This window comes from Homo sapiens, chromosome 20, assembly GCF_000001405.40.
Source record: "Homo sapiens chromosome 20, GRCh38.p14 Primary Assembly".
Taxonomy (NCBI): domain Eukaryota; kingdom Metazoa; phylum Chordata; class Mammalia; order Primates; family Hominidae; genus Homo; species Homo sapiens.
In genome coordinates this window covers 64255418-64277386 of record NC_000020.11, presented here as the reverse complement: position 1 = coordinate 64277386, position 21969 = coordinate 64255418, and the positions used below count along the sequence as shown (strand labels likewise).

The 21969-nt window shown below is 44.0% G+C and overlaps 1 protein-coding gene and 1 long non-coding RNA gene across 3 annotated transcripts, besides 1 other annotated feature; both read right to left on the bottom strand.

The window, feature by feature from the left end:
• Positions 1-1160: 1160 nt before the first annotated feature.
• PCMTD2 (protein-L-isoaspartate (D-aspartate) O-methyltransferase domain containing 2) lies at positions 1161-21639 on the bottom strand. Of its 2 annotated transcripts, none has more exons than NM_018257.3 (6): positions 21517-21639; positions 17115-17445; positions 12856-12958; positions 11958-12129; positions 9377-9500; positions 1161-4166 (listed from the first exon to the last, which is right to left on the bottom strand). In NM_018257.3, exons 2-6 carry the CDS (start codon positions 17419-17421, stop codon positions 3787-3789), a joined length of 1086 nt encoding a protein of 361 aa, NP_060727.2. In that variant the 5' UTR covers positions 17422-17445; positions 21517-21639; the 3' UTR covers positions 1161-3786. The 2 variants fall into 2 exon arrangements, with proteins under 2 accessions (NP_060727.2, NP_001098395.1); NM_001104925.2 differs by having other exon boundaries at positions 9377-9419.
• LOC124904957 (uncharacterized) lies at positions 4897-7488 on the bottom strand. The gene is made up of 2 exons (XR_007067721.1): positions 5932-7488; positions 4897-5877 (listed from the first exon to the last, which is right to left on the bottom strand). It is a non-coding gene; the product is annotated as an uncharacterized LOC124904957 (long non-coding RNA).
• Positions 7034-7535: an enhancer, noted in NCBI's record as "H3K4me1 hESC enhancer chr20:62901205-62901706 (GRCh37/hg19 assembly coordinates)". NCBI's record gives its function as "activates a minimal SCP1, AML or CMV promoter by ChIP-STARR-seq in naive H9 embryonic stem cells {active_cell/tissue: H9 hESC(naive)}" and the evidence as "EXISTENCE:reporter gene assay evidence [ECO:0000049][PMID:30033119]".
• Positions 21640-21969: the final 330 nt, after the last annotated feature.

Genomic DNA, 21969 nt, shown 5'->3' with positions numbered 1-21969 from the left:
TAATTACAGACAGGCAAACGTGAGTCTCCAACAACAGTTAAAAAAGAAAAAAAAAAAGAGATACAGCAAGAAATGAAAGATCAACATGATCAAACTGATAAATCACCTCTAGAGGAGTAAGTCCCCACATCCCTTCCTCTTTCTGGCCGTTTCCTTCTTTGTTCAAGGAAGGGCCAGAATCCACGTTCCCACCTCCGATGAAGTAAAATTTTTAAAAATTCTAATTAGGATCCTCAGAAAAGTCTATAGTACTGCAACCACAGAAAATAACAGTATATGCAGGTGTGATGATTAGTACTGTGTCAACTTGATTGGCTTGAAGGATGCAAAGTATCATTCCTGGGTGTGTCTGTGTGGCTGTTGCCAAAGGAGATTAACATTTGAGTCAGTGGACTGGGAGAGGCACACCCACCCTCAGTCTGGGTGGGCACCATCTATTCAGCTGCCAGCTCGACTAGGATAAAAGCAGGCAGAGGAACACGGAAGGACTGGACTGGCTGAGTCTTCCGGCCTCTATCTTTCTCCCATGCTTTGCTTCCGGCCCTCGAACACAGGACTCCCAGTTCTTCAGCTTTTGCACTCTTGGATTGACACCAGTGGTTTGAAAGGGGTTCTTGGGCCTTCAGTCACAAACTGAAGGCTGCACTGTCAGCTTCCCTACTTTTGAGGTTTTGGGACTCGGACTGGCTTCCTTGCTTCTCAGGTTGCAGATGCCCTACTGTGGGACTTCACCTTGCGATCCTGTGAGTCAATACTCCTTAATAAACTCCCTTTCATATATATATATCTATCCTATTAGTCCTGTCCCTCTACAGAACCCTGACGAATACAGCAGGAAGGAAAATTCAGAGATCAGTAAAGAGAGCATGAAATTATCTTAAAATATATAACTGCCAAAATAAAAAATTGGAAGGCAGAATGTAAAAAATATCCCAACAAGCACATACAATAAAAGAGAAAACATAAGCTCTTTGGGAGACTGGTCCCAGAATTTCAAGATCTAAATAACATCTGTGCTCTGAACAGATAACTGAGAATGAAAAAAAAATATTTTCTGCCCCTTAGAAAGTTGAATGTGGGAAAATTATGCCAAAAACGTTAACCGCAATCTTCAAGGCCCTATTCTCTTATGTACTTGGAGCCAGCCACTTCTCCATTTGTCCATTCCAATTTCACATTTATTAATGAAAAATAATGCCTTCTCTACATCTATTGTGACTGTCACAGAATCAAGCAGTAATACAAATATTTGCTGAAAGTAAACACATGATGTTAATAAAGAAAAAAGGTTCTTTTCTTAAGATTTTGAAAAGAACATATTCAAGAATTGGAATCCTACACAGGATGCAGAAGCAATGCTAAGGATAAAATATCCTGACTACCTTTATTGACATGATTTGTGTTTACCAGCTCATTAAAATCTATGTTTCAAATTCCCTGGATTTTCCCAAGTTCCAGACTGGTAAAAAGTATTTTTACATACACATTTGATGCTCACATTACAAACTTAATATCTATAAACTTGAAACTTGTTTTGCACAAGTCTATGGCTTTACTACTTTTCAAGACAAAAGTCACATATTAAAATACAAACTACTCAAAAGCAAATAGTTGTCAAGAATGTGGTTTACAAGACAGATCTTACAGATAATACAGACTATATTATGATTTATCTGTTTGAAAACAGAAAGTAGTGTATTATACTGAATTCTGGTATAAGGTGCGCAGGAAACTTTACTTACAATCCTTTATTTTCATAAGGTAAACACCAAAGTATTTCTCACATATATTACCACCAGATTTTTTTTAAACCAAATTCCGGTTTAAAAATCACACACTGACAACACAGAAATACGAAATGCTAGGAAAAGTCTAGCATATGAAGGAAAAACATGTCTTATGCATTCTAATATAATTTTTTACAATCTAGCATAAAGGCAAATGCGGTTTTTTTAAAAATGCAGTCCATATACAATTATAGAAAAAACATTAGTCAAGCCACCTAATATAACCAATTTCACAGATAGCACTCATTTAATATAATGTCCAAAAATTTCCAAGTAAGTGTCTACGTATCAGTTAGAATAATGCCCACAAGGATCTCCAAACTACAAAATATCAGCAAGTAAATGAAAATCACACATTTCTCTTTGAAAGACTGAAGCTTGACTATGAGTTAAAAGGCAACAACTATGAACTAACTTTCTTTAAAATGACTTAAACTGCCCAATCTAGAGCAATACATGTTTCCTAGCTATACATGCAAACTGGACTGTGTGGTAAAAATGACTCAGTTACTTAAAAAAAGCAGAAAAGATCCAAAATAACCAGAGCTCAAGCTAAGCTGGTGAAACCACAGAGACACTGAAGCCCAGCAACTCCCAAGAAGCTGAGGATTAAGATTAAAAATAAACTCTGGATACTGAATCCTATATCAACACTCTGAATTTATATTTATTGTTAGTAATTTCTATTATTCTTTTCTTTGGGTAAAAAAAAATGTTTTAAAAAGAACCAATGTTTTGGAATAAGCAATGTAACTCTGATCATTCTGCTATGTGACTACCAAAAAGGCTGTTGTTCTTTTAGCCCTACCACTTGGTAAGATAGAAAGCTCTCCACACACAAGGCCCAGAGAAGGCTGATATCACAAGTCAGTGTGAGTTACACTCTTCTCATGCAATGGAGCTACTAAAATACATACATTTGGTCTTACAAAAAAATTACAAAACTAACAAATCTTTTTCTCCAGAATTATAAAAGATAGAATCTATGAATCAGTACTAATGTGATCACAGAAAAATAGCAAACTGAAGTCAAAAAGCACAGGCTGCCCATCATAGAGTCCCCAGTCTATTTAATATTTTCGACCTGCTCTGAGGATGGAGGGTGTCAACACCTTAGAATACCATGATGGGCTTTAAAACTGGGTAAAGAATCATCCCTAGGGTTAGGGCAAATGTAACTTCACTTATTGCTTACACACAGGAAAAAATCTGTTTCCTTTTCCAAGATATTCTTTTAAGGATTACTTGACAGTGGTTCTTTTAAAGGTATCAAAAGATGTCCTAAAAAAAAAAAAAAAAACCCTCTTTGGAATTCTCTCGGAATTCCAGAAAGATTATCTGGCAATTCATTCCTCCACCCCATCAAAATTTTTCCTTTGAAAAATTACAACTGGCAACTCACATAAGATTTAATCAACTTACTTAAAATAAGGGAGGGCTTCTCAATAATGTTTCCCCACTAGAAAACTAAGAAATTCAGTGATACTCAGTGCCAGTAATTAAGTGGTACATATCATAAAAATTCAAACTTGGACGCAGGTGCGTCACACCCAGAAAAGATTTTATACATTTATAAGCTTGTGCTTTCACACTTTATAAGCAACACAGGTTAGTTTCCACTTCAGTTTTCATTTTTAGTGAGTACCGTGCATGTTGCATGAGGGACGGTCATCAAACAGTCTCTCTTACGCAGACTTCAGTGTTTCGTCAGAGCCGAAAAAGAAACAGCCTTCTCTTTTTCTCTATGAAGATTCTCTCCACTTTGGGAAAACAATCTTCTATGCAATGAAGGTCTTGTGGAACTATGTAAACAAATCATACAACTGAATAGAATTTTAGAGGTCAATCAGGAACTAGAAGAAAACCATGGTGTGGATGAGCCCAGCAGTTCCCTTCCCCACAACGTCTGCCTCCAGGTGACCCTTCAACAGCACACAGGCAGCACGAACTTCACACTCAGCAATCTGCTCTTCCTATTTCCCCCTTTCAAACAGGAGACTTATTTTTCTCTGTAATAAAGCAAGTAGTATTTCAGGGGATCTGGCAGAGGGAGGCTCAGGACCTTCTGGCGTAGGAAGTTCACTGGGGGGTCTGGCTTTGTTTCCGGCGGGGTCTTCTCTTCTTCTTCCCTCCGTTCCTCTTCCAAGTCTTCACAGCTGTTGTCATCTGAGGGGTTGGAAATCCGACTGGCAAAGACTTCTTTGTCCAAAAAGACAATCGTTTCCATTCGACGGCGGCGAACTCTCCTTCGTTTAAACCTGGGGGTGTTCTTTAGTCCGTTTCCGTTTTTGCTCACAGTTTCCTGATGAATAATCTTTTTAATGGTGCCCCGGATGGCGATGCGAGCCAAGTCCTGGAGGCTGCGAACTGCCACTGGTGCTGCAGCACAGAAGAGTGAGACACAGTCAAATGCATCGGAGTGACACCACCACAACGCCTACACACCTAAGACCCGTAGCATCATTTCAATTAACTGGCAAATTTATGAATATGTTACAAGAATATGAGAGCATGCTAAGCAAATGTCAATTAGTGCTCTAATTTACAATCATATGGTACTTTTCAAAAGATATTTCCAAATGCATCAATTCTTAACTTTGAAAGGGAAAGGAAGCAATATTGCTTGGCTATATTAATCAGTGGTGGAATCAACACCTGGGTCACAATTTGTCTTCCTGACACAGCCCAGTTTCATTATTCTATTATTTGCTGTGTTCATGTGTATATTAATACCCACCTACTAGTAATACAGTGAATATGTCTCCAACATTCTTTTTTTGGAGACAGAGTCTTACTCTGTCACCCAGGCTGGGGTGCAAGGGTGTGATCTCGACTTACTGCAACCTCCGTCTCCTGGGTTCAAGTGATCCTCCCGCCTCAACCTCCCCAGTAGCTGGGATTACAGGCATGCGCCACCACGCCCAGCTAATTTTTGTATTTTTAGTAGAGACGGGGTTTCAACCACGTTGGCCAGGATGGTCTCAAACTCCTAACATCAAGTGATCCGCCCACCTCAGCCTCCCAAAGCGCTGGGATTAGAGGCGTGAGCCACTGTGCCCGGCCTAATATTCTTTTATCTGTTAATATTTTCATAGTTATTTACACAATGAACATTTGCTCCATTTTTATTAAAGTAGGGAAATGCAAATCCAAACATTTTTCAGGAAAAACAAAAACTCCAAAGCACACCAAGGAGAAAGAACATTTGACAATTAAAGCTCACGATTTCATGCAGGCAACATTTCTCAAAGGGAAAATTACATTAAACTGAAAATCAGCATCACTTTTCCCCTCCAGTACTCAACTTCTCCAAATAATAACAGTCTGCACTATAGGGAGAGCTCTTGTGTTGTGCACAACGTTTATTACCAAAGTCAGAAAGGCCTGCACAGAATCTCAGCATCTCCACTGTTCTTCAGAAACCCTCAAACAGGCTTGTGTCCCAGGCCCCTGGTAGTGAGTAAGTAGCACCTTCTCCCTTCAACCTTTCCTGCTTTTCTGACTCCACAGACAAGAGGTCCCTTCTCCTTTCTCCAGGACAGGCTCCGGCACTTCCTTTGTCTTCAGTCCTTTCTCTTCACTCAACACCACGATCGTGCCTCTTGCCCCATCTGTGACCCGGCTCCCTCCTCAAGTACAGCCATCCTTCCTTCCTTCATCATCTCACATCTAGACAGATTACTTCCAGAGCCACTGGGATCTGGCTGTTGCCCCAAGAGGCTGAAACAACTCCTTCCGAGGCCCTCGGGGTCCCGGCCCTCAGCTCCGGCCTCTCCAGATCTCCAAGGAGTCTGCTTGGGATAAGGAACGTGGCTCACTGCTCCCCTGGCCCAAGGCACAGCCGCTCCCTCTGACCTCCGCAGCTCTTTTCTCTTGCAGGCTCTTCCTCTTCCATCCAGCCCAGTGCTGCTCCCTAAGGTTCCAATTTCCACCATTTCACCGTCTCAGTATGACTGCTAGTCCTTGGTTTTACATCCATTCTGTGGCTTTAAATAACAGAGGCCAGCCAATAGCTCCCCAGGTTCTACTCCAGTCCGGACCAGAATCCTGAGCCTCCCACAGACCCAGGTCTACCACAGACAACGAACACCTCACATGCCCTTCCTCAGAAGGACTGTACCATTGTACGTCTCACAACGAACACCTCACATGCCCTTCCTCAGAAGGACTGTACCATTGTACGTCTCACAACGAACACCTCACATGCCCTTCCTCAGAAGGACTGTACCATTGTACGTCTCACAACGAACACCTCACATGCCCTTCCTCAGAAGGACTGTACCATTGTACGTCTCACAACGAACACCTCACATGCCCTTCCTCAGAAGGACTGTACCATTGTACGTATCACAACGAACACCTCACATGCCCTTCCTCAGAAGGACTGTACCATTGTACGTATCACAACGAACACCTCACATGCCCTTCCTCAGAAGGACTGTACCATTGTACGTATCACAACGAACACCTCACATGCCCTTCCTCAGAAGGACTGTACCATTGTACGTATCACAACGAACACCTCACATGCCCTTCCTCAGAAGGACTGTACCATTGTACGTATCACAACGAACACCTCACATGCCCTTCCTCAGAAGGACTGTACCATTGTACGTATCACAACGAACACCTCACGTGCCCTTCCTCAGAAGGACTGTACCATTGTACGTATCACAACGAACACCTCACATGCCCTTCCTCAGAAGGACTGTACCATTGTACGTATCACAACGAACACCTCACGTGCCCTTCCTCAGAAGGACTGTACCATTGTACGTATCACAACGAACACCTCACGTGCCCTTCCTCAGAAGGACTGTACCATTGTACGTATCACAACGAACACCTCACGTGCCCTTCCTCAGAAGGACTGTACCATTTTATGTATCACTGAATCTTCTCCACTGTAGCAGCCAGTGTCTTAGTTTTTATCTTTATCTCTCGCCTGGAAAATTTCAACAGCTTTCCACTTGTTCCTGCTTCCATTCAATCTGAAAGCTAACCCGTCCACCCCACACCACACATATCTTCACTCACACGATCCCACACCATGCACGCCCGCACTCACAAGACCCCACATCGTGCACGCCGGAACTCACGACTGCACACCATGCACGCCCGCATTCACACGACCTCACACTGTGCACATCCGCAGTCACATGACACATCACGTGTGCCCACACTCACCCCACACCGTGCAGGCCCGCATTCACACGACCCCACACCCTGCATGCCTGAACTCACGACGCCACACCGTGCACGTCCACACAACCCACTGTGCACTCACACGATCCCACACTGTGCACATCCGCACTCACATGACCCCACATCACACGTGCCCACACTCACACGACCCCACACCGTGCACTCACATGACCCCGCACCACGCACGCCCGCACTCACGACCCCACACCGTGCACACCCACACGACCCCACAACGTGCATGCCCGCACTGACGACCCCACACCATGCACTCACACGACCCCATACCGTGCACGCCTGAACTCAAGACCCCACACCGTGCACGCCCGCACTCACAAGACCCCACGCCATGCACTCACACAACCCCATACCGTGCACGCCTGAACTTACGACCCCACACCGTGCACACCCGCACTCACAGGACCCCACACCGTGCACGCCCTCACTCACGGGACCCCACACCGTGCAGGACCACACTCACACCACACACCATGCATGCCCGCACTCACACGACCCCACACGATGCACGCCCACACCCCCCACACGCCAGCACCCATGACCCCACACCACGCGTGCCCACATTCACATGACCCCACACCGCGCACACCCACACACACATTACCCCACACTGCAAATGTCCACACATGACCCCACATTGCGCATGTCCGCACTCTCACGACCCCACACCACACACGTCTACACTCACTTTGACCCCATATTGTGCAGGTCTAAACTTACACACCCCACACCACGCATCTACACTCACATGACCCCATATCACGTATGTCTACACTCACAGAGTTTTCTACTCCACTGTCTTTACCAACATGAATTTACTAGTATAGGAAACTGGCCCAGGAAAAGAAAAGTTGCAAGTAACTCAATGGGTCACTTCAGAAACTCTAAAAGCATCACATTACTGTTGATCATCTAACACTCTCTTCAAAGCCATCTCCTCAAAACAAGCATCCAAACTGCCCACCACATTGTCATGATTCTTCATCGGCCAGACGAACCCCACAGGGAACGGCTCGTTTCAACCAGACCCTCAAAAAGTCTCATAAATACCCCGAAGATGCCCCTGCCTTCCCAAACTCTGCTAAGGCTCTGGAAGCTGGTGCCCTCCCCGCCAAGGGCGGCAGTTACTTAAAAGGTTATTCTGATGAGACTTTCAGAGCACGCATTTGACAGATTCACCCTCCACCCGACGACAACCAGGCTTATCCAGGATACACAGGCACTGTATCTTTTATTTAAAGCATCTGATAGCTCTCCCCAGCCTACATGATAAACCCAATTCTAACCTACATACCAGTAGTTTCTCCCATCAGTCCCAACTCTGACTACACGGGGAACACGCATTTTGATTTATGTCCTGCCACTGCTGGTACTTTTCTCCCCTTTCTTCTCTCTTTAGGGAACTCCTTTTTGCCCTTGAAGGCCAAGCACAGACATCACCCTCTGCCAAACCTTCCCTAATTAACCGTTTTGCATGTCCTATTGTTGCTCATTATCAAATTTCAAGAACCGTGTCTAGTTCTTAGAACCTGTACTTAGTAGAGACCAAAGCAAAGTGTAATCATTTCATAGGTGATTCCTAATAAATCAAAAAACCTTTCTGGAAGAGATTTGCCAAAATGTAAAACTTTTTGCAAAACTTTTTTTTTTTTTTGTAAGACTATGCAAAACTTTTCCCTTCCTATTATTTTTTGCATTTTCCAAATTTTCTAAATGATCAGAGAGCATCCTGATAGTTTTATTTTAAATAAAATCAATTGGAACTCTCATTTCTGTGTGAGCCGTTTAAATTTTAAAACATTAGGAGGTTTTGCTGTCGTGCTGGCCCTGGTATCAGTTCCTTGCTCAGTTTGCATCCTGAAATAGTGAAACACAAAGGCTCGGCTGTGTAAGGTTCCACGGAAAGTCTCCTATCCACACCCCAGCAGATTAGCTGGAATGTGTTCTCTAACCTTGTCTACCCATGAGGCAGCAGGCGCTTGGCGCCCTGGGGAGCAGAAGCCCCATGACTCTGTAGGAGCCCTCTGGCTGATGGCTCTTTCTGTAAGCCCCTCCCAGTGGAGGCGGCAAATAGGCTAAGTCTCCCACATGGCAAAATGAGCTCCCTTTTATGTGCGTCCTCGGCTTTCAATGGTGTGACCGGCAACAGCTCTTTGTAGATTTAAAAGACGGCTAAAATTACCTGAAATAGGTTAAAAATAGATTATAATTTTTATAATGCCTGAAATTGCTTGTAGAATTTTACAGTTTCAGCATGGGAGTGGTGCTTTTTAATATCAAAAGGTTTGTTGTAAATTTTGTTTCCTTTTAAAATCTAACCAGAGAGAAAAGATCTAAAAGATAAAATAAGTAAAGATTGGTATACTTACGTAACTGGACAAGTCTTGATTTTCCTGACTCTGAATGGCAGGGCTGGATCAGAGGAGCAAAAGAAACAGCAAGAATCTTTTTGGTTTCCCAAGCTGAAGGACCTGTGCGTGTTATCTTAGTCAACTATCCCAGAGACAAAATGAGAATATTCAAAAGAATTGGCTACTATTTAGCTCATATTTAATCATTCCTATACATACTATAAAAATACATAGAAATGCTTACAATAAAATGAAATATCTTGACATACGGACCCCTAATGTGATGTGCCATGAAGTACATCTACCTTATGAATATTCCTGCAAAGATGCTAACCTGAATATATTCAGGCCCTAGGCCTAACTTCTGTTTACAGAAACTATATATTATAGAGAAACTAGTTATAGGATAGCAAGAGGAAACAACCACATAGACAGTGTGGGGATTCTTATAAGACAATGCTCTAGCACTCTCCAAAAAAGTCAATATTGAGGGTGAAAAGGGGGTCTGTTCTAAAGCAAAAAGTAATTACAGATACGTTACCAACCAACTGAATCCTGACCTGTTGTTATTGGGAGGGTGGCTAAGTCCTGATAGGCACTGTAGTAACAGATACTGTTACAGAATCCCTGTTACTTTTTTAAATGCAAACTTGTCATCTTGGATGCCTGGGCAATTATCCTCATGCTTTGGAGACAAATACTGAAGTGTTTAAATGAGCCTTGCCCTGATATCACCCCCACGAAAGCACCGGAATCTGGTGGCTTAACACACTCCAGTGTAGGCCATCAAAACATTTCTTTTGAATTAAAGTATTACGAGCACCAGAGACCACAATTAGACATGACCCTCTGTGCACTCTGTGTGGCTGGGTCAGTCTCCAAGTGGCCTACACAGGTCACAAAACTATTTCTGGTCAGTTCTTTCATGCTATGATTATATGCTGGCCTTTTCTAAAAATATCTAAGTCAGTAAATCCTCTAAAAACTAAGATTCTATGTCATGAATCTTATAACTAAAAGGATTAAGTCGCCACGTACTAAGTAAATATCAACAAACATTCTTGTATACCAGCAAAACATATGTTTATTTAAACATTTTTAAAAGAATTTCTAGTTACAATGAAAAACAAGTATTTCAATAGAATCAATAAATGATGTATAAAACCTTAAATAAAACTATATAAACCCCTATTTCATATTCTAGATAAGCAGATGAAACATTGTAAAGATGGCCACAATCCTCAAATTATCGAGATGATACAATTCCAATAAAAAATCCAATGCATTTTGTATAGCAACAAAGATCTGTAATATCACTTGTATAAGCAAAGACATTTAAAACAATATTCTGCCAGGTGTGATGGCTCATGCCAACAACTCTGGAGGCTGAGGTGAGGCAATTGCTTGAGGCCAGGAGTTTGTGATCAGCCCAGGCAACACAGTGAGAGCCCATCACTAAAAAAATAAAATTAGGCCGGGCACGGTGGCTCACACCTGTAATCCCAGCACTTTGGGAGGCCGAGGTGGGCGGATCATGAGGTCAGGAGCTCTGAGACCAGCCTGAACAACATGGTGAAACCCTGTCTCTACTAAAAATACAAAAATTAGCTGGGTGTGGTGGCACGCACCTGTAATCCCAGCTACTCAGGAGGCTGAGGCAGAAGAATCGCTTGAACCCAGGAGGCAGAGGTTGCACTAAGCTGAGATCGCGCCACTGCACTCCAGCCTGGGCGACAGAGCGAGACTCTGTCTCTAAATAAATAAATAAATAAATAAATATTTAAAAAATAAATTTATCTGGGCATGGCAGCACGTGCCTATAGTGCCAGCTACTTGGGATGCTGAGGCGGAAGGGTCACTTGAGCCCATGAGTTTGAAGTTACAGTGAGCTATTATCATGCCACTGTACTCCAGCCTGGATGACAGAGCAAGATCTCATCTCCAAATTTTTATTAAAACAATTAAAACCTCCTAATTTTTATTATTTGTGTTTTCCTAGTTCTTTGTGACTGGGAGACATTCTTCTTGGTGACCAATTCATGTCTGATTAATCTGTTCATTTACTATAAACTATTTTTCCCAGTGACATACAGTAACACAGACAAACAAGCATGACCAAACAGCAAACTTGGACAAGACTCTCACTAGGCAAAGGATTCCTGTCAAATGCATAACATCAAGGCATGTAACAATTAGACTAATGATGAGAATAGAATGACTCTATTTTATATATAATTCTAACAGCAGAACAATTATAATAGATTAACAATTAGAATTAAAACTCAGAACAGCTGGGGGGAAGGAGAAGGGGAAGGAAGAGGGAGGTGAGGGGGAAGGGACAGAAGAAGGAAAAAGAGAGAGACAGAGAAGGAAGGTGGAGAAAAGCGTTTCACGTGCAGGCTCTGAAGCACCCACCTGAGTCAGCTTCTGGCCCCAGCTAGGGCATGTGCGTGACCCTGCATCTCCCTCACCTGTCCCTGCCTCTGTTTCCTCATTTGTGAAATGCAGGAAATTGTTAAAAGAGTAAGTATCCGTACACTGCCCAGAACAGACCTTGGCACACAGTGTGCAGAAATGTCAGTTATGAAGGGAATCTGACCTTCTCTTCCAGTGGCATGACAAGGATCCCTCCCACTTTGAGAAGATTCTTCATGTACTCTTCATGCTCTTTCTGCACGCCAGCCCCACAGTATACACGATCATACTGAGAACAATCCGGAGAAATCTCCAGGCAATTCCCAGTAACAAAGGAAGGTTCACAGAAGTCAAACCTGGAAGTAAAAAATGCTTCCTGCAACTAAAAGTATCACATTGCAACAAGTCTATACAGTAAATCTATGCTAACCACAGGTTAAAATCCCACAGCAATGTAACACAGTTTACAGTGTGAGGAGCTGGAAGAAAAGAATTACAAATGTCCAAGAATTACTTCCAAAAAGAATTATACTATATAACTAGAACTCTAGAAATACCAAACAAAATAGTATGAAAGTGAATATCAAAAGTTTTATCCAAATTTCACACAATCTCCAGTCGCTGCTGTCTCTGTCATCTTCTTATCATCTTATGTAAGATCTATTAATACTACACAATGAGTGAGATGTGGGGGTGGTGAAACTGCACTTGGTGTTTCTAAAAATTTTAATCCCTAAAATAAGAACTTTAATGCCTTCTTTTAAAATGGCAAAAGCTAGTTACATATACTGTTTAGAGACAAATGCAACAATTTTATTTTAGGAAAAACTAGGTGGTAAACAGTTGTCTTCAACAGGAAACATGAATATTGAGCAAATGAACACCTTATGTATGTGTAACAGTTTGAAATACCCTAAAACCCTCAAAACACAGAATCTTTTCTGAAAATTAGAACAGGCACATAGAATCATCCCACCACAGTTTAATTATGTTTCCTACCACATGATTTCTTTCTATCTGATCAAAACTTTGTAAAATTACAGTTCACATCATCTGAGCCAATGGATAGTATTTCATCTTACTTGTCAAAACTATCACTTGTTCTGATGAAGAAGTCCAGTTTCTGCTTTGCATACTCTATCACATCTGAGTGAAGTTCCACCCCATGGTTCACACCAAAAGGACCTAAAAGGTTTAAGAATAAGAAAACATGTAGAACCAGAGTAAGAACTCTTGCTCATCTGTTCACTTCTACCAACTGTAACACGTCTGACTTAACATGTGTAACTACAGACATTCACAAAGTTTTGAAGTCTCATCACAGTATCACGGCTCACCACATCGTAAATACTTGAGGCCTGGGCTTCTCTGCTCACAAACTTTTAAAGAATCATTTGAAAATGGAGACAAACCAAGTGTTCAGGTCTTACTAATGAACTAAAGAAGAAACATGTATTTGCAAATGGAACTGACACAGGCCTCACCTGTTTGTCCAGAGGTAACATTTAAGACGATTCTGTTTTCCCTGAAAAGTTGCCCAGAACACTCAGATGTGAGCATTATAATATTCACAAAACAGGGTTCAATCATCATCATTAAGATAAAACTATGCTTCCAAGTCACAATGAAACATTTTTATATCAAAGGATATTTATCAGTAATTTGAAATACAACTGAGAAATGTTACAAGTCCACTTAATGATGACAGTGCTCCCCCGATATAAAACTGCCCCTACGTTAACTGGGAACACAGTATTGACACTCAACTTAAATGGGTCTCTCTGTTGCGGGAATCCACTTACATGAAGGTAAAAATCGGGCAAAATTCATCTTTGCCGACAAAGGCAAAACGGTCATCACCTTTCTGGAAGATGCAACACTGGTGAACTTTCTAGGAGGAGGAGGGGGCATGGGAGCCTTTTGGGGTGCTGATTCAACTCTGCATCTTGCTGTGGCTGGAGTTTATATGGCGGTGGATGCATATGTAAAAGTCCACCAGAATTCACACTTCACACTTGTTCATTTACTATGGGTAAGTTACACGTCAACTTTTTAAATCTACATGTAAAAATCACAAGGCACGTAGGACTTTACTTGGTAGACAGATATACTACTACAGTGATCATGTAGCACTGGACCCTACAATCTAACAGAAATGCTAAGAAATGGGCAACCTTCTGTGCATCCCACACCTTTGCACCGTGTGGGCCCTCCTAGTACAACAGCCACCAGCCCAGGCCAAGGCTTCCCTGGCCCCCATTTGGACAACTGTACCTGCTGCTCTTTTCTCTCCACGTATTTCATACACAGAGCTGCTGCTAAAACATTACCTCGTCAAAATACACCCTACCTGAGAGTTCCCCTTTTCACTGTTTACAACATCAAATCCTGAATTACTCTGAACGTCAAGACCTTCTGACAACTCCGACTTCAATTCCCGACTCTGCCAGAGACCAAAAATAGCGCTTGATTCTTCCCACTCATCTTATTTTCACTGACCCCTCACCTTCACTATCAAACACTTAATAAGCAGTTAATTCTAGTAACAGATATGAGATATGGTTCCTATTCCCAAGAAGCTTAACACCAAACAGTAGTAACACAAATACCTCGACCCACCTGCTTAATACAAAGATGACTAGCAGGGGAGGAGGACACAGGGTGGCCGGGGGGTGTCAGGAACACGGCACCTGGGACTCAGCACTGGAGCACGGCATGAAACCAGAGCAGCGAGGCCCCCCTGGCAGAGCCGCTCCTAGGTCTGCCCTGCTTCCGAATCACCCAGCACTTTTCAGGTAGGTGACTTATGAGCCACCATCTCTTAGTAGCTACTGTATTCTCCCCTGGTTGATGACAAACAAAGGTAAGGACAGCCCTGAGCAAAGGGGAGAGGAGCCCACAGAGCAAGCACAGGAACAGGGCTGACCCAGGATGCCGCTCAGGCCATGCGAAAGGCAGTCGGGGGTCACAGTAAAGAACTCCGTCAGATGAGAGACCCACATCCACAGGCGCCGGGAAGCCAATGAGGTTTCACTCTGGAGTGCTCTGCACCAAGTGCTATTAAGCTTGAATAAAAGCTGCAGCATCTGGAGACACAGCCAAGACACGCATCCATGACAGCAAACCCTGAAGTCACTTCCTTCAACTGCATCAAAGCAGCATGTTACATCCATTACAGCAGAAAACAGGCCTTTCCTTCCTTCAGACCTCTCTCCTCCCAAAATCCAATGAAATTTCCAGTAAACAGGGGATTCAGGAAAGAAAAGCAACTGTATCAAGTTGGAAGGCCTTTCCTTATAACTTCTAGGGGATGTCAAGTACAGCAAGGCCATTTCAGGCTTACTTTTTTTTTTTCTTTTTGAGATGGAGTCTGGCTCCGTTAGCCAGACTGGAGTGCAGTGGCACCATCTCTGCTCACTGTAACCTTCGCCTCCCAGGTTCAAGTGATTCTCCAGCCTCAGCCTCCTGAGTAGCTGGGATTATAGGTGTGCACCACCACACCCAGGTACTTTCTTATACTTTTGGTAGGGACAGGGTTTCACCACGTTGGCCAGGTTGGTCTTGAACTCCAGACCTCAAGCCATCTGCCTGCCTCGGCCTCCCAAAGTGCTGAGATTACAGGCGTGAGCCACCACGCCCCACCATTTCAGGCTTACTTTAAGTCATCTTTTCCTAAGCATTTTGGCTCTTTCCTATAGTATTTCTAATCTAGTCAGCTTGATCACCTATTTCTCCCCAAGGTTCTACCTTAGCTATAGCCCCTATTTTTCAGCTACGTTGGAGGAAATCACAATTCCCAAATTCAAAAATGATAAATAATCTGGGCACTGTGTTCTCTTCTCAAAGCACAGGGATCACAACAGTCTCAATTGAAGAGAAGTTACGGTCAAAAAGCATTATAAAAATCTACACACTTTTACACCTGAAGGTAGCAATCTATAGCATAAAGCCAAAATAATCGGTCTCAAAACTTCACCAAATTCCAATTTATACAGACTTAGAAAAAAAAAACAAAATTATCATTCCATATCCACAAAAATCAATTATAGACGGAGTCTCACTGTCACCTAGGCTGGAGTGCAGTGGTGCAATCATAGCTCACTGCAATCTTGAAGCGATCAAGCGATCCTCCGACCTCGGCTTCCCAAAGGGCTGGGATTACAGGCATGAACCACCAAGCCAAGCCACATTCCTGACGTTTCTTTCACAAGCATATACAGTCCACCCGTAAATCCTGTCAGTTCTAACAGGATTTAGAAAAAATACAGACTCCAGCTTCTCTGCACTGGTTTCATCCAGCGTCTTCTCAGCCAGCTTTGCCTCAGCAGCCTGGCCCCTGCTTCCTGTTTACAGATCAGCTCCTATCACCCCTCCGGCAAAACTTTTCCACCCTACTGAGTTAAAAACAGATGCCTTCCCCGCCCCTCACAGCATTTGGCACCAAGTGATGTTTTTCCTTAGTTATCTGCTATTATTAAAAATAGCCATATTTCCATGTGCAGTCTCACAACTCATTTGTTTGGAAAATAGGCTAAATAGCTTCATAGTGAAATCCCTTCCATCCCTGAAACTAATTTTAAAATCTACAGGTATTACTCTTAGTATTAAAACAAAAAAGTAGGCCAGGCATGGTGGCTCATGCCTGTAATCCCAGCACTTTGGGAGGCTGAGGCAGGTGGAGAGCTGGCGCCCAGGAGTTTGAGACCAGCCTGGGAAACATGGCGAGACCCCGTCTCTAAAAATCATTTAAACATCAGCCAGGGGTGGTGGTGCGTGCCTGTGGCCCTAGGTACTCAGGAGGATTTGCTGGATCCCAGGAGGTCAAGGCTACAGTGGGCCTTGCTCGTGTCACGGCACTCCAGCCTAGACGATGGGGCACAACTGTCAAAAAAAAAAAAAAAAAAAAACCAACAAAACAAAAACTGCTTAGAAGTACTCCGAAAGGACTTTCAAGTTAATTACCATCGATTTAGAGAAGGAGTGACAAGGAAGAATGAGTGATAAAATTAAATCGAGAAATCACAGTGGGGTCAAGATTTACACAACTGTCTTTATCCTCCGCTGTCCAGAGGGCAGGTGCGCAGTACAGGCTGTGGCAGCACAGGAAGAGGGGACAGAGAACAGGAGAGGTCCCTCTGGAGAATCCGGGGCCCATGAGATGCATGCAGGCCTTCCTCCCTCATCCCTCTATCCACCACCCAGTGATGTGTCAATGTCAGATAACTACTGGGAAGGCTGCGGTCTCGACCCAGGCAGGCCATTAGCAGACTACATTTTCTGTCAAAGGAGATGCCTCCTTCCCTGAGACAGATGAGTTTTCAGACTCTCCTTCCACACTTACCTAGAATGAGGCCCACCATGGAGCTGAGATACCCAGTGCCACTGCCCAGGTTCAGAAACGAGAGTCCAGGCTGCAGATCTAGGGCTTCCATCACCTCCGAGTAGATGCACGGGGCTGAGAGGTGAATGTTTCCATGCTTCCATGCCAAGTCTTTATAAGCATTTTCTTTAAATTCTTCAAGATAATAGTCTGCACGATCGATAGCTCTGAAAGCCTGCTCTACCAGCTCAGTCCGGATATACTGTGCTTCTTTCAAATTATCTATCAGCTCATCATTGTCTTCACCAGCACTCACAGCACCGCCCATGTTCAAGATTACACTTAGGCAATACTATAATTAAAAATGTTTAAAAAGAGCGATTTATGTTAAAGGTAAGAGCAGAACAATAGAAGTTCTAAACAGATACCAATTTGAAATTCTGAATTCTGAAAATAATAGATTATCTTTTGTCAACACCCACCTCATCCCCTGCCCCACCCAGAGATGCCAGATTTAGAAGGAAAAAAAATCCCAGTTCAATTGGAAATTAAGGTAAACAACAATACTAAAAGTTATTTGACGTTTATTTGAAATTCAAATTTAGGCCGGGTGCGGTGGGTCATGACTGTAATCCCAGCACTTTGGGAGGCCGAGGCAGTTGGATCACCTGAGGTCAGGAGTTCAAGAACAGCCTGGCCAACATGGTGAAACCCCGTCTCTACTAAAAAATACAAAAATTAGCCAGGCATGCTGGTGGATGCCTGTAATCCCAGCTACTGGCGAGGCTGAGGGAGAAGAATCACTTGAACCCGGGAGGCAGAGGTTGCAGTGATCAGAGCTCGTACCACTGCACTCCAGCTTGCGGAACAGAGCAAGACTCTGTCTCAAAAAAAAAAAAAAAAAAAAGAGAAAAGAAAAAAAACTTTAGGTGGTGTCCTATATTACATCTGGGAATTCTATATCCCCAACATACACAAAAGTACCCACCCAAGTCAAGCAATCCATCTGACCTGTTGATTTGGATATTTTGATGTTCAAATTTTAGACAAAAACAGCAAGAAAACACTCTTCCCAAATTGAACGTACTGTGACAAATACCTTTTTCTAACAAATGCAAAATCAGCTTCCTGGCTAAAGTTTAAGTGTAGGAGGGGCTGCTACCAGAACTTCCTACAGCCCCTCCTCAATTGCATGATACGCAGCTTTCCCAGCTCTTTAAAAATAACAACTACTTGTCTTACCTTCTCCCAACCTGCCTTCAAGAAGAAAAAGCACAGCATGTGTCACCTCTGAGCCTAACTATTAAAATACAGGGTAGCTTCAGCTAATTCACAAGAAAACACTTTTTCACGCGGAGAAGTCTTACTCTTCTTAAAACTACAAAAATATCCTTTCCAATTTTATACTTACCCCATGTAACTTTTTCAAAGTAACTGCTTTAACTTCATATAAAATGGTAATGCTTTACAAAACACCAGATACAAATTGTCAGGGAAAAAGACCACCAGACCTCATGAAGACATTTTCTGAAATGAACACAACCTTTTTAACAACTTGTTATAATTATGATGAAGTTTATACTTGCTTTCCTCCTCACATTCCTCTGGATTTCTAACAGTAGAATGAGGATCGTAAAGAAATACTGTGGGGTGACAAGGGGCCTGGGGCGGATTTCATACACACCCACGTACACAACTGGAGACAGCGGTGGGAGGTTTTCCCAGGAATGAAAATAATCACATAGTTTCTTACAAGTGAACAAAAAGTGTGAAGGGTATAGCTTAACACAAATTCTCTTCTATTTTTATGGTGGAACACTCAATCTTCACACTCAAGATTTTAGAGCTGAATATTAGGTTTTGCAAATCAATAGGATGGTCCAGTCATTAAATTTTCACACCCTTTTTGAATTTTTTGAATTGTTTCGGAGCCCTTGTTAGATTACGGTCCACAGCCAGCTGACTTAGACTTAGATGGAATTAAGTCCTAATGAGGTCAACTTTAATCCTGGATAAGCCACTCAGTTCTGAGGCTGCACCCTAGCCTACCACAGTCATCTTAAAATTTGGGTCAGTGGTTAAAAGCGGAATCATGTGTTTGGATGCTTAAGGGTCTATTTAGGAAAAGAGCTGGAAAATCGCATACCGTCCTCAGTCAAAGCCACCTCTTCACCCAGAAGCCTGTATATAATGTTCCAACATTGTCTCAATGCCACATCTCTAGAAGGTAACCTCAAACTGTATGTTGGATAGGTTTCATTTTCCACTAAGTAACTATCACTTATTTTGAACTCTGCCTTAATTTGAAAGTTCAGACAGCTTTTTAGTAAAAACAAGCACCTTTTTCCAGGTACCACCTGCCAGTCATGGCCTCATTTACACTTCACAACATTAAGAAGCAAATTGGAGCTGGCCGGTTAATTTGTTCATGATCACATAGCCAGTTTGTGAGGAGGGGGCTGCATTCAAACCCAGGACTGTATGGCAAAAGGCCTGTGTTTTTAATACCACACCAGTGCAGCTTTTAAAAATACTCAAGACAGCAACGTTCTTTACCACACAACACACCGGTAACCTTTTGACGATGGGGTAACCCTATCTATACCTATTGCCACTGGTAGGATCCATGTGAATAGCTGTGGGGTCTGATATTTATTACCATCTTTGTCTGGTAATCTAACACTCCCTCGCACTGAAAACCATCGATATGATCAGTCATGATGTCACCAAAAACACCGACAACAAAGCTCTTCGCCAAACCAAATCCTATCATTTTCACCCAGATTCTACAATCTGGTCAAATCCAATTTTTCAAAGTAAAAGTGTAGAATCATTTTTAGAACGCTGCACTCGATGATACTGTGCACATTGTCTGCTGTAATTAATCCTTAATATAATTCACTACTCTGTGGTAACTAGCAACAGTCCATAACAACCTGGCTGCTCCTTACAATGCGAACTGCCAGGGCACATGAAGAACACTTGCTGAGTGGCGACAGGCATGGGAAGGTCTCAGAACTGACACCTGAGTTGTGATTGTGGCTGTGTCAACACAAGCATGAAGCTATGGTAGTGGGGTTTTGGGAGGCGACATACGGAAGATCACATTCCAACTTGGATGTCACTTCTTTAGGGTAATATGGACAAAGTAATTCATTGTGGAAGATGAGTGGGGAAAAGGACCCAAAGCCACATCTCCTTTGGGCAGAATGATCAAACAAACACACAAACAGATTTCTCACCTTGAAAACCAGAACTCTTACAAGCAATGCAAAGGGACTTTTTTCAAATACAGATGGTCTCCGACTTCGGATGGTTCGACTTCAGGTTTAACGATGTGTTTACTGGGATGCGACCCCACCGTAAGCCGGGGAGCACCTATACTTGAAAGGCTGTCACATGTACACTATTAATGGGCCTAACAAAAGCCAGACCAGTGGTACATGTTGGAGACAATGCCTACTAAATACACAGAGAAGCTTTCTAACAAATGAAGTTGCAATGAATGAAAGGAGCTCTTGATAAGCCCAGCCAAGTTCCACTGGAGGTACGAGCTGGGGTGGCGCAGGGAGCAAGGCCCTGGATCGGTCACCTCTGAGGTCTCCTCTCATCACCTGAGTGTAGGGCTCTATTTCCCCCAAGCGTGGCCACAACAATTTCTGAGTTGCTTATAGGCACCTCAACTTCACTCATTCTTGAATGACAGTCTATCAAACGCCCAGATAGGAGCTGTTTAGCCATTCCCTTGAGAAGAAAAATGAAAACTATTCTAGTCACACGAGTAAAGAGGGGGTGGATAAAGAGGGCGTGGATATTTAGGTGACTTATTTGAGGTGCAACGCTGGAGCAAACATTCATTTAGGAGACACGTCCCTCTCACAAAAACAAAACAAAGGCCCGAAGCTCAGGCAAGTTCTCCTTCCTCCAACTAACAAAGATCTCTTTCCATGCGTGAATTGAAGTCCCAGTGCTCTGCTCCAATTCTTACTATCTCCAAGGCACGGGGCGGGGGGGCGCAATTATTTTTTTAAAAAATCCTGTCATCTTCTGAAAGGGTCCAAGGCAGACTTTGTTCTAAACCTTAGCTCTTGGCTTGCCTTGGAACTGCAAACGTTTCCCACTTGGGAAGTCAAAGACAAGCTGCAGGTCTGGACTAACCAGACCCAAGAGTGTGAGTGAGCAACGGGCACCGGGAGAGACCGACGGGAAACCGCGAGCGCTCGGAGAGAGAAACGCGGGACGCCCTGGAGGCCGCTGGGGGGAGGTGAGGGTGCCCGAGGTGGGGAGGAGCGACGCCCCCAGAGGAGAGCTCCGGGCGCAGGGGTGCCGGGGGTGGGGAAGGAGGAGGGAAGGGGCCGAGGGGACACACCACCCGCTCGCCGCAGGCCGGACCGAGGGGCGGCGGCGGCGGCGGCGGCTCTACCTCCAGGCTCGGCCGGCCGACGGGTTCGGACCGCCTGGGCTGCCACCTGCAGCTCCTCGGGCGCGTCCCTCGTGTGTCCGCGGCCGAGCAGCGCCGCTCCAACCTCGGCCGCCGTAAACATCCGCCGCCGCCGCCGCCGCCGCCGCCTCTGCGCCTGCGCACAACGGCCTGACTGCGCATGCGCCGCGGGCCTGGCACTTAAAGGGGTGATGGCGGCGCAGGGCGGGCCCCACTCCCCTGGGCTGCCTGCGTCCGCCCGCCCCGCTGAGAGCTCGCTGAGCCCTAGGCCGGGTCCGAGTCTCGCGGGCGCGCCGTCCGCGCAGTGCTCAGCCAGGACGGACCCCGCACGGGCTGCCTCAGAAGCCCTCCCTAAGGGTCACCTGAGACGCCTTTGCTGACCCACGGCTGGGGGCGTTCCGCATCTCCAGGGTGCCCTGCGGCTGCTGACTCGGG

What these genes read in the sequence shown, in the direction of transcription:
- PCMTD2 (NM_018257.3), bottom strand. Translation starts at nt 17,421, where the DNA reads ATGGGCGGTGCTGTGAGTGCTGGTGAAGACAATGATGAGCTGATAGAT. An exon ending in TCATGCCACTGGAAGAGAAG is followed by an intron (nt 9,501 to 11,957) that starts GTCAGATTCCCT and finishes TCTCTGGGATAG; the next exon opens with TTGACTAAGATAACACGCAC. An exon ending in ATCAAGACTTGTCCAGTTAC is followed by an intron (nt 4,167 to 9,376) that starts GTAAGTATACCA and finishes TCTGTGCTGCAG; the next exon opens with CACCAGTGGCAGTTCGCAGC.